Source organism: Homo sapiens, chromosome 5, assembly GCF_000001405.40.
Source record: "Homo sapiens chromosome 5, GRCh38.p14 Primary Assembly".
In the NCBI taxonomy this organism is placed as follows: Eukaryota; Metazoa; Chordata; class Mammalia; order Primates; family Hominidae; genus Homo; species Homo sapiens.
Window position 1 is genome coordinate 179522081 of NC_000005.10, and position 11872 is coordinate 179533952.

At 47.7% G+C, this 11872-nt stretch overlaps 2 long non-coding RNA genes across 2 annotated transcripts in view, besides 2 other annotated features; both read left to right on the forward strand.

Annotated features, from left to right (window-relative positions):
• Window positions 1-376: 376 nt before the first annotated feature.
• The window catches only part of LOC128966623 (uncharacterized), a 130785-nt gene continuing 119289 nt past the window's right edge, over window positions 377-11872 (forward strand). Inside the window, 4 exon segments of the long non-coding RNA NR_185480.1 lie at window positions 377-624; window positions 1337-1394; window positions 1940-2000; window positions 2220-2635. This is a non-coding gene — a long non-coding RNA (uncharacterized LOC128966623).
• LOC100289470 (chromosome 5 open reading frame 60-like) lies at window positions 416-3094 on the forward strand. Its single transcript, NR_171571.1, has 4 exons — window positions 416-624; window positions 1337-1394; window positions 1940-2000; window positions 2220-3094. It is a non-coding gene; the product is annotated as a chromosome 5 open reading frame 60-like (long non-coding RNA).
• Window positions 7691-8297: an enhancer, noted in NCBI's record as "H3K27ac-H3K4me1 hESC enhancer chr5:178956772-178957378 (GRCh37/hg19 assembly coordinates)". NCBI's record gives its function as "activates a minimal SCP1, AML or CMV promoter by ChIP-STARR-seq in naive H9 embryonic stem cells {active_cell/tissue: H9 hESC(naive)}" and the evidence as "EXISTENCE:reporter gene assay evidence [ECO:0000049][PMID:30033119]".
• Window positions 8298-8903: an enhancer, noted in NCBI's record as "H3K27ac-H3K4me1 hESC enhancer chr5:178957379-178957984 (GRCh37/hg19 assembly coordinates)". NCBI's record gives its function as "activates a minimal SCP1, AML or CMV promoter by ChIP-STARR-seq in naive H9 embryonic stem cells {active_cell/tissue: H9 hESC(naive)}" and the evidence as "EXISTENCE:reporter gene assay evidence [ECO:0000049][PMID:30033119]".

Genomic DNA, 11872 nt, shown 5'->3' on the forward strand with positions numbered 1-11872 from the left:
AACATATTGTGTGGGGAGGTTAGAATTGCAGGCAGAGGAGACCCTGGAGCAATAATCCCTGGAAATAACAGGAATTTCGGGGACAAATCCAGATCCTCAAAAACTGTGAAACTGAGGGAGTCTGAGCAGAGTTCTCCAATGAACCAGGTATCATCTGTGTGCCAGGGTGAGAGGACGGAAAACGGGCCAGGTCTGTCTCTGACAGGTTGAGAAGGTGGAGTGGGAAGGAGGGATCCGGAAGGCCAGGAGGGTGGAGGGAACTGCAGGGGTGGGTGGTGGTGGGCGGGGCTGGGCTTTAGCCTCCTCCTCCCACTGCCCACCCCACCCTTAGGAGCCCTTTGTGAGGGGGAGGCCCCAGCTCTGTGATGTGGACCTGGGCCCCAGTAACTTGTCCCAGAGGGGATGCCCAGGGCTCAGCTGCCTGAGGACAGCAGTGCAGTTGACATGGATATTCTCTTTCCTCTGCACAGTGTTATTGAGACAGAGCTGTGCCCCAGCCCCATTCCCCAGATCATCCATTTCGTCCTCTTCATTGTGTTCAGCCTGGTGATCCTGATCATCTTATGCCCCTACATTCCCAGGGAGCCATCCTCAGTGCCTCCCAGAGAGGAGGACAGCGAGAATGTAAGGAGCCCTCAGCCCACACCCAGCAGAGAATGCTTCTATTTTTCCTGCTCTCTTTTCCACTTTTCCACATCAACCAGAGGCGCTCCTGTGATGGGAACTCTCATCATCCCTCTAGGGACAGCAGGGCAGGCAGGGGTTGGAGTGGGCATAGGATTTCCAACCCAAGCCCCCAGACCATCTGTGGAGGTGCACGGGAGGCGTCAGAGCAAAACCAAACCCCAGGACTCAGCGGCGAGGACCCGGTCATGAGAGGGGTGAGGTCTCTGTGGAAGGACAGGCCCTGAGCCCGGGCTCATCAGCCGCCTTCCTGGGCAGGTGCCTCGGGGCCCAGCCTCTGTGTGAGGTGCTCTGGGGGCTGTGCTGAGCCCCTGAGAGCCTCCCACCTGAGACTGGAGTCGCCCCTGGCCTCCTCGGAAGCAGAATCCTCCCTGCCAGCTCAGAGGCACCTGCAGACCCAAGAGTGTGTGTTTCCCAAGCAGCGGAACAGGGACTGAGGATACCCAGGGCAGGCCTCACATAGAAAACCCCTCCATGCTTTCCAGAGAAGGAAACCAGAAAAAGGTTATTACGCACTTTAGAAACCAGTGAAAGAGAAGCACACAGGCTCCATGAGCTGGGCGGAGAAAGTGTGTCATTCACGAGCACTGGGTCTGCAGCTGTGGGGACAGGAGACTGAGACCCGGCCTGCACCCTCTTTCTTGTCTCTCAGGATCAAGCTGAAGTGGGGGAATGGCTCAGGATCGGAAATAAATATATCACTTTGAAAGGTAAGGCTCTGAGGGTCCCAGAAGCCCCCAGAGGTGACAGCTTCACCTGATCCTAGGAACATGCTGCTTGTCTCCAAGGAATTCATTTTCAGAGGCCTGAAGGGAACCTCCTAGGAGAGAAATTGGAACCCGGGATCCCTCTCCATGGGATGAAGCCATGGGGTCCAGGAAGCAGGTGTTGCCCAGGAGGGGACCGTGTGGGGGAGGGGACCAGTGACCACCTGGACATGCAGGAGGGGCTGCAGGTCCATGTGGGCAGCTGTTTAACATGGCTGAGCCCTCTCTGAGGCCACCCTGTCCTCTCTCCCCAGGAGGTGGTCGTGACCCCCATGATGGGGAGTGTCAGGAGGCACTCTATAAATGAGAAAACGCTGCCCACCGGGCATCTGGCTATCACTCCTGGGGCCCTGTGGCCTTGGACAGGGATGCTGGGGCTCCAGGGTCTAATCCCCGATCCCGGGGTCTCCCCTAAGGGCACACGCACTCGGCCTCCTGTAAGTCCCAGTTCCCTCCCTCGCCACCATAACCCATCTCCTGCTTTCCAGACTGCAGAATTCTCTTGAAAGAATTGGAGAACCTTGAGGTCTACACTTTCCTGCTGGAAAAGTGAGGCTCTTCCCCTTCTCTCCCATGTCCTCCTTCCTACCAGGACCTAGGATGCCACCCCAGGGCCTGGGGCTGATCTGGGAGGGGAGATCACGGCCGTTATGTCACTAAAGCCCTGGGCAGGGGTAGGCAGAGCTTTGTGAAGTCAGCAGGGGGGCCCTGGAGGTCCACAGGTGCCCAGTGCTCCCGGCTGCAGCCTGTGCCTCCTGTCTCCTGCAGGCGCCTGAAGAAGCTCTCTAGGGAGGGCAGCTCCCATCACCTTCCACGCCAAGTCCGCCCAGGGCCAGTGTACAAACCAGCACCTGCTAGGAACCACCGGCCACGTGGGGGGCGTGGGAAAGCTTCTCCCACCAGCTTCCATGTGTCCCCACGGGCTCCCCCGGCTCCTCTGGCCTCCATGCCGTCATCAGTCCCGAAGACCTCCATAGAGTCCCTTGGGTCTCCATCATCCCTGAGCTCCTCCCAGGCATCAGAGCCTCTGTGTCCCCTGAAGCACCCTTCACACCGGCCACCTGCGAGCACCCTATCACCAAACCCGACCAGCTCCACAGAATCCTTGGGGTATCTGTCATCCCTCAGCTCCTCCCAGCCACCAGAGCCTTTGCGTCCCCTGAAGCACCCTTCACACAAGCCACATGGGCGTTCCCCTCCCCGACGACGGAATCCTGGCTGGGTGTCCTGGTCCGACTCCATGCAGGCTGATTCCGAAACTGACGCCATAATATGCCCAATGTGCAAGGCCCCTGAGCGCTCCTGTCCACACACCTGGTGGGTGCCTTCTAGCCCTCGAGTGATCCGAGGCGTTGGTCGCTGCAGTGATCCCAACCTGGGCCTCTCCTGGAGGCAGGAGGCTGCTAGAGCCTGGTGCCACTGCACCTCCTCACAGTACCCATTCGAGCACCCTAATCTTCCCACCCACCTACCAAAGGCTTCCTTCTAGGGAGACCCCACATGCAGGCAGATGGAGGCAGGGCTCACACTGGCCTCCAGGGCTGTGCAACTGGCATATTATTTTGCACATAACTTGGCTCAGGTTTGTGAGGTCTGATTTTTAAAATGAAGCAACAATCACATAAAGATTTTCAAACAAATAAGTCAAATGTATGGCAGTATTTCTATTTTATCCTATGGCAAAATAATTCTTCCTAATTTTAATATTATTTTGTTCCTTAAAATTTAATACCTTCAAATGATATTACCTATGTTTCCAGGATTTGACAAAGTCTTAATGTTCAGCCAACATGGCTTAAGCTGATGAACTACTTAAAAGGATTCTTTTCTTTTTTTTTTTTTTTTTTTGAGACAGAGTCTCGCTCTGTCACCCAGGCCGGAGTGCAGTGGTGTGATCTCGGCTCACTGCAACCTCCACCTCCTGGGTTCAAGCGATTCTCCTGCCTCAGCCTCCCGAGTAGCTGGGATTACAGACATGCACCACCACAGCTGGCTAATTTTTGTATTTTTAGTAGAGACGGGGTTTCACCATGTTGGCCAGGCTGGTCTCGAACTCCTGGCCTCAGGTGATCCACTCCCCTTGGTCTCCCAAACTGCTGGGATTAGAGGCGTGAGCCACCAAGTCCAGCCGGAGGATTCATTGTTTAAATAATTCTAAGAAATGCACATTTTCCAAGACTCAGGAGGTCAGGCTTCATTTTATATTCAGTAAAGGGTTTAAAAAGGATGTGATGCTCCAAATAAACTGAAATCTTACACAGCTTCTCACGGAATGTGTGCCTGAGACAGACGCACAGCCATCCCAACTACTGGGAAGAGGCGTCTTATCATCCGAATTGAAGAAAGTGTCCATTTAGTCAACATGTGTATTAGAATAATGAAAGGCCTCACTACTTATATGCCCAGCACTTTCTAAAGGGTGCACTTTGGTTAGACTGTGTATTTCTTACTGCTCATAAGTAACACATTGTCGTTGGCTTGTTAAAGTCTGCTTTAATATCATCTGTCAAGTATGTGTCACTGGTGAAGTCTCTCAGATTATCCCTCAGGGTGAAAGCATCACACTCCTTTCTTCAAAAGGAGCAAAGTCGACACGAGGGCCCTTGCAGCCAATTTGTTCCAACAAGAACTTCCCTCCTATTCCTTATAATTACAAATTTATACCTATTATATTTTCTATTTTACTCCCTTCAATGTCATTGAATCTCAAAATGATGAAACACGGTCATGAGTGTCCTCTAGTACACCACTGGCTTGTATTCTTTTTATAGTGTGCCAGATGTTTAATCATCAGAAAAACGGACCAATTAGGAAAGATTTCCATATAGAAAATACATTACAGAGTACTGCACCCTTTTTAAACTGACTTTTTATACAGGTTTAAACTAAATGATCATGTCTTTTGACTTAAAGTTGTTTGGGGTAGCCACAATGTCTGAAAACAGACTACTGTCCATAATAAATAGTTTATTGTTATGACATGTTTAATGTGCTGCCCCTCACTAGGAATTCTTAGTTCAACAGGTTGTGCAAAACCGCAATGCATGGTGTGCCTTAAAGCAACGTTCCCATCATCTGCTGCACCTGCGTCCACCATACATTGCTGCAGATGATTTATGTGTCCAACTTCCCGGGTGTAAACTTATGCCTTTACCCCAGAAGAATAAGTGGGTTCAATCTATTAGAAAAATACTGTCAATATTTCCAGACTTCTTTATTTTTGGAGACAGGGTCTCACACCCAGGCTGGAGTGCAGTGGCACATCACGGCTCATTGTAGCCTTGAACTCCTGGGCTCAAACGATCCTCCTGCGTCAGTCTCCCGAGTAGCTGGGACCAACAGGTATGTGCCACCATGCCTGGCTAATTGCTTTTTTTTTTTTTTTTTTTTTTTTTTTTGGTGGAGATTGTGTTGCCTAGGCTGGTCTTGAACTCCTGGCCTCAAGTGATCCTCCCACCTCAGCCTCCCAGAGTGTGGGATTACAGGCATGAGCCACCATGTCTGGCCTTGGTTTTGAAATAGATATTTATTTAAAATAGGTTTCACACTGATTTCAATAAATCAGGCACTCCAGAACACAATGTATAGGGTGGCAATTATATGTTGACTTCTTAATACTCCAAGAGATAAAGATCTTTTCCAAATAAGCAAAAAAAGTAGTCATTGTGCAATATTAGCCTCTAAGAGCAATTTCCCTTTATAGACTACAATATTACTGACAGTTTCATGCACTTTTGCTTTATAAAGAACTCCACAGGAAGAAATTTCCCCAGTCTTTCCCGGTAGACACAGCTACATTTTCTGTCACACACAAACCATTGTCACAGTACAGCATGTCCAGATCCAAAGAATCAAGGGGTTTCACAATTGCTTCCCCAATGTATGCCATGAGGTTGGTCAGATTTGAAACCATTCCCGTGACAGGATCAATCTTTATAATTGTGCCCCTGCCGTATGGATGGTTTGCATTTCCCAAACAGGAGTGTCCTGGGTTACTCAGAGGTGTGCCATGGAGCCCTCCCTTGGCCGTTTTATAATAACCAGAACAGCCCATTTCCCCATGGACACACATTCCAAGCTCTCCACAGCCCAGTACCACCGTTATGCAAAGGATATGGATGGAACTCACATTCAGAAAGCTAGAAAATAAGGCTGTGCCAGGCACAGTAGATGAGCAATGAGAAGATGCCAATGTCTTTTCTAGAAGCATGAGTGATCCAGCTCTTTGGTTCTGAACATTTCTGTGCTTTAGCGTTTCTCTCCCTCATTCACAGTAAAGACATCTGCAGCTCTTCCCTCCTGAGATAAGAAACTGGAACAGCCACCACCTGCTCCCTGATGTTTTCACCATCTCTGCCACTTGTTACAACGACCACTTAGCCAGACATCTCGGCGCAGGGATCCCCCTTAAACTGCAGAAGCAAGACCAGCCCACCACCCTTTCTTTTTATTCCTGCCATAATTTGATGCTAGTAACACTCTGCCTACCTACTTCCAATGGTAACAAATATTTTGTAGAATATGCAAGTTTATTTTGTAGATTGTGGTCCCTGGAGTGAGAGAAACTCTCCACCTACCAGACCTGTGACTTAGGTAAGTCACTCTGTGTCTCCAAACTTAATTTCCTTGATGTGGAAAATGGGGATAGAAGTTAATAACATTGCAGGAAAGGGGACATGAGTTATAATATAAAACTCTCTGCATGGTTCCTATTGGATAATTTTGCTATTATTATTGCTTGTATTTTTGTCACATTATAACCAACTTAGTTTTACTTGTTAAAGTACACACAATTGGGTTTTTTTAAAAGAATTAATTTAATTTACTAGCACAAAAGCTAGTGTTAAAAATAGGTGTTAAAAATTGAGTCCCGGCAGGGCACCGTGGCTCACGCCTGCAATCCCAGCACTTCGGGAGGTCCAGGCTGGCAGATCACTTGAGGTCAGGAGTTTGAGACCAGCCTGGCCAACATGGTGAAACTCCATTTCTACTAAAAATATAAGAAATAGCCGGGCGTGGTGGCTCGTGCCTGTAGTCCCAGCTACTCAGGAGGCTGAGACAGGAAAATTGCTTGAACCGGGAGGCAGAGGGTGCAGTGAGCCAAGATGGCGCCACTGCACTCCAGCCTGGGCAACAGAGTGAGAATCTGTTTAAAAAAAAAAAAGAAAAAAAAAGTGAGTCCCATCTGATAAACCGAATATTTAAGTAAATTTGAAATATTTTTTGCCCCATGATATTTAGGGGTTTCTACTAATTGACTTTGATGTTCAAGGGCTGTTTTGTGATCCCAAAGCCATTGCCACTTTTACTTTGAACAAGCTGGACTCATGGGGTACTCCAGAGCCAACTCTGTTTTCTCCACGCAGCCTGCTCCTTGCTGCTGGTTCTGAGTCCCTGAATGAAATCTGGGATCTTCATGGCTTACCTACTTACATTCAGGAAAATAAAAAAAAAATCCTCCAGTCATCTCCAATAACAAGAAGAGGTCTGATTTCACTCATTAAACTATGCAGTGTGATGTCATAGCCAAATGGCCACACCGCATTGGAGAGCCAAGTTTTCTCTCCCAGAACAGCCTGCCTGGGCGCGGGCCACCATGCCCGGCTAATTTTTGTATTTTTAGTAGAGACAGGGTTTCACCATGCTGGCCAGCCTGGTCTCGAACTCCTGACCTCGCGATCCGCCAGCCTCGGCCTCCCAAAGTGCTGGGATTACAGGCGTGAGCCATTGTGCCGGGCCACTTTTCTTTCTTTCTTTTTTCTCTTTTTTTTTTTTTTTTGAGACAGAGTCTCGCTCTGTCGCCCAGGCTGGAGTGCAGTGGTGCCATCTCGGCTCACTGCAAGCTCCGCTTCTCAGGTTCACGCCATTCTCCTGCCTCAGCCTCCCGAGTAGCTGGGACTACAGGCGCCCGCCACCACACCCGGCTAATTTTTTGTATTTTTACTAGAGACGGGGTTTCGCCATGTTAGCCAGGATGGTCTCCATCTCCTGACCTCGTGATCCACCTGCCTGAGCCTCCCCAAAGTGCTGGGATTACAGGCGTGAGCCACCGCGCCCGGCCTCTTTTTTAAAGAAGGTTTTATTTTTGCAATAACATTACTAGCGCTATTGACAAGTATCAAATGCACACTGTATAACTACAGCAAACCCATCCACAACGTATTCGACTGTTCAGAGCCCTGAATGACATCTTGATAAAGAGCCAAAAGTTGTTTCCATAAAGATCTTCAAGGTGTTTGAGCACATCTTGTCAGACGCCCGTAAAGGAAGCTGACTCTCACTGGGTTCCAGGAATTACGTGGTTACGTCCATAACAGCCCATCTGACAAGTGGCAAATACCCGTGGAAAACCAATTAACTGTGCTCCTCGGTTTACCCTGGAGGATGGTGGCGGATGACGCGACTAAGTTTGCTTTGAGCCTGCTTCAAGTTCCAACTTCCTTGGAGTTAGTCGCATTTACAATTTAAAACATGCAAAAATCCACGCTTGTGTATGAAATTCGTGTTTCTTCAGAACATGAGGCTAAGACAACGTGGATATTATGGGATGATGGGCCGTTCACAGAGAAATCCCCGTCCCGGGCACACTCAGGCCTGGCGCCTGGCCTGCGGCTCACCTGGTGGGAGGAAAGGTTTCTCTGGGTGGTCCAAGGCGGCACAGGTGACCCAGGGCGAGGAGCCTCTGGGGGGCTCAGCGAACCCAGCGTCCACTCAAGCTCGTCCTGCCCCTGGCAATCCACGCGGTGCCGGGTGGATGCGTGGGAGCCACATCAAAGTCCCCCCACAAGTGCCTGGGGCTCCCCGCTGATTTCGAGGTCTACAGAATGGGTTTCTTGCAACTCACATCCTTCAGCTGGAGGACCCCAGAAAGGCAGAGCTCCCGTCCAGAGTGTGCTGGTCCCGGACGCAGACCTGCTCCCAAATGCCCTGGGGTCGGGCGTAAGGCCTGGGGATCGCCGGAGCCTGGTTTCCTCACTGCGGTGCTCACTGCCGCCGCCTCTTCCCCGGACGCCCGGTCTGTCTGAGGTCGCCGGGTCTGTGGACGCGGATCCGAATCGGAGCTTCCGAGGGTGATCTGAGATCCAAAGTCAGGAGTCTTCTGCATCCTGCCCTTTGTCAGCGCTGGTCCTCATTTCACCTGCCCAGGGCCTTCAGGAGGGGCGACACTCTCCGGCTGCGGGCGGCCCAGCGCTCGCCCCCCTCGGCCCCACGTACTCTTCCTGCCTCGCCCCCATCGCCCTCCTCCGGCTTCCCGCGCCTCCCGGGGCTCTGCGCTTGCGTCCAGGGCGCCCTCTCCGGGGACAATGGGCGGGTGCTTCGCAGGCTGCAGTCAGGGCCGACTTCACCCGGCGAGGACAGGGCGAGGCGCTGGGCCCAGAGGTATGTTTGAAACGATTCGCGTATGTGAATCTACTTTTTGAATTGTAAATTTTATGAAACCTAAATACAAATCATGTACTTCTTATGAAAATTTCGTGTCTGAATTAAGAAGTGCTATCAATATAAAAGAACAGATTTCGAAAACTTAGTACAAAAATAGAAGGTGAAATATTTCATTCATGTTTATGTTGATAACATGTTCAAATGACACTACTTTGGACGTATTGAATTAAATATATTATTAAAACTCATTGCACATATTTCTTTTTACTTTTCTAAGTGGCTACTACAAACATTAAGTCACATGTGTTCTTGCATTATATTTCTACTGGACAGTGTGCTGTACAAGAAAATAGAAAAAGTATAAAAATTATCCAGTTCATTTTATGAAACTAGAATTTTTAATTCTCAAATCAGATAAGGTTAACATAAAAATAAAATTATAAAACCATTTTTTACTTATGATCACTGATATAAAACAAAATATAGCTAACAGAATCAAATAGTATATATATAAATTTATCATATTGTATTTAAGATCTTTATTTTTCTAACATTCTTGGTCCTATGAAAACATTTCAGTATACAACATCAGAGAAAAACCATCATAATCTATATGCCAGTCATCACAATCGACATGGTATAATTTTTAAAAATAAACTATCTTGCCCTGTAGATGTATATATACAGCAGTCCCTCTGTATCCACAGGGGATTCGTTCCAGGACCCTCCCCCCAAAATCCACAATGCTCAAGTCCCTTATATAAAGTAGCATTGTACTGTCAGTCCCCAATTTATGATGGCTTCAATTGGGATTTGACTTGCCAATGGTGCAAAAGCAATGGGCATTCAGAACGCTTCTCATCTTACAATAGGGTTACATCTGGATAAACCCATTGTAAATTCAACTCGCCATATGGTCAATCTATACGATGGATGTATTTGGTTGTAACCCCATCATAAGTCAAGGAGCATCTGTATTTGCGTATAACCTATAACCTATGCACATCCTCTGTCCCAGGTTAATTATTTAGAGGTATAATTTAAATCACCTCTAAATTTTATTTTATTTTATTTTATTTTTGAGATGGAGTCTTGCTCTGTCGCCCAGGCTGGAGTGCAGTGGTGTGATCTCGGCTCACTGCAAGCTCTGCCTCCCGGCTTCACGCCATTCTCCTGCCTCAGCCTCCCGAGTAGCTGGGACTACAGGCGCCTGTAACCACACCCAGCTAATTTTTTGTATTTTTAGTGGAGACGGGGTTTCACTGTGTTAGCCAGGATGGTCTCGATCTCCTGACCTCGTGATCTGCCCGTCTCGGCCTCCCGAAGTGCTGGGGTTACAGGCGTGAACCACCATGCCCGGCCCAATCACCTCTAAATTATTTACACTACTAGTTAATACAATGTAAATGCTATGTAAATAGCTGTTGGGGCCAAGCATGGTGGCTCACTCCTGTAATCCCAACACTTTGGGAGGCTGAGGCAGGAGGATTACTTGAGCCCAGGAGTTCGAGACCAGCCTGTGGTCCCAGCTACTCAGGAGGCTGAAGTGGGAGGCTCACTTGAGCTCAGGAAGTTGTGGCTGCAGTGAGCTGTGATGGTACCACTGCACTCAAGCCTAGGCAACAAAGCAAGACTGTCTCAAAAAAAAAGTTGTTGTATTGATTTTTTTATTTATATTATTTTTTCTTGTTTTTTTTTTATTGCTTTTGTTTTTCAAATACTTTTGATCCACGGTTGATTGAAACCACAGATGTAAAACCCCAGGATACGAGGGGCCAACTGCATATAAAATCAAGTAAAACTTAGCTTAGGAATATAAGAATTTTTCTTTTTTATAGTATGTGTGTATATATATGTATATATGTGTGTCTATATAGGTATACATGTGTGTGTATATGTATATATACACACATATATATATATATATATTTTTTTTTTTTTTTAAATAGGGATGAGGTCTCACTATGTTGCCCAGGCTGGTCTCAAACTCCTGAGCTCAAGCGATCCTCCTGCTTCAGACTCCCGGAGTCCTGGGAAGAATTTTTCAACATCAAAAAATCTATTAACATGAGCTACCACAGTAAAAAGAAAAAAAACATATAATTATCTCAGTCTATTCAGAAAGAAATTTGATAAGATTTAAAGCCTACTTATGATTTTTTCCCTCTTAACTAATTAAGACTGGAAGAAACTTTCTCAACTAGTAAATTTCATATACCAAAAGCTTACATCAAAATTTTACTTGAGGAAGAAAATTGCAAAGATCCTTAATTAATTAATCCTTTAAGTCAGGATTAATTAACACAAAAATACTCAGTAATCCCCTGTGGTTTAACACAGAACTGCATTCTCCTGGTCAATGCCCTAAGGAAAGAAAAAGAAAGAAAAGATGTAAGGATTGGAAGATGAGAGAAAATTGTCATAATTCGAAGATGATATCACCGTCTACCTAGAAAGAAACCGCCGGCTGGGCGCGGTGGCTCAGGCCTCTAATCCCAGCACTTTGGGAGGAAGAGGCAGGTGGATCACTCAAGGTCAGAAGTTTGACATCAGCCTGGCCAACATAGTGAAACCCACTCTCTCGCTACGAAAAATACAAAAATTAGCTGGGCGTGGTGGTGCATGCCTGTAATCTCAGCTATTCAGGAGGCAAGGCAGGAGAATCACTTGAACCTGGGAGGCGGAGGTTGCAGTGAGCTGAGATCATTCCACTACACTCCAACCTGGGGGACAGAGTGAGACTCCCTCTCAAAAAAGAAAAAGAAAAAAGAAAAAAAGGAAACCAGCTGGGTGTGGTGGCTCATGCCTGTAATCCCATCACTTTGGGAGGCCGAGGTGGGCAGATTACTTGATGTCAGAAGTTCGAAACCAGCCTGGCCACATGGTGAAACCCCGTCTCTACTAAAAATATTGTAAAAATTAGCTGGGCATGGCGGCAGGCACCTGTAATCCCAGCTACTCAGGAGGCTGAGGCAGGAGAATCACTTAAACCTGGGAGGTGGAGGTTGCAGTGAGCCGAGATCATGTCCAGCCTGGGT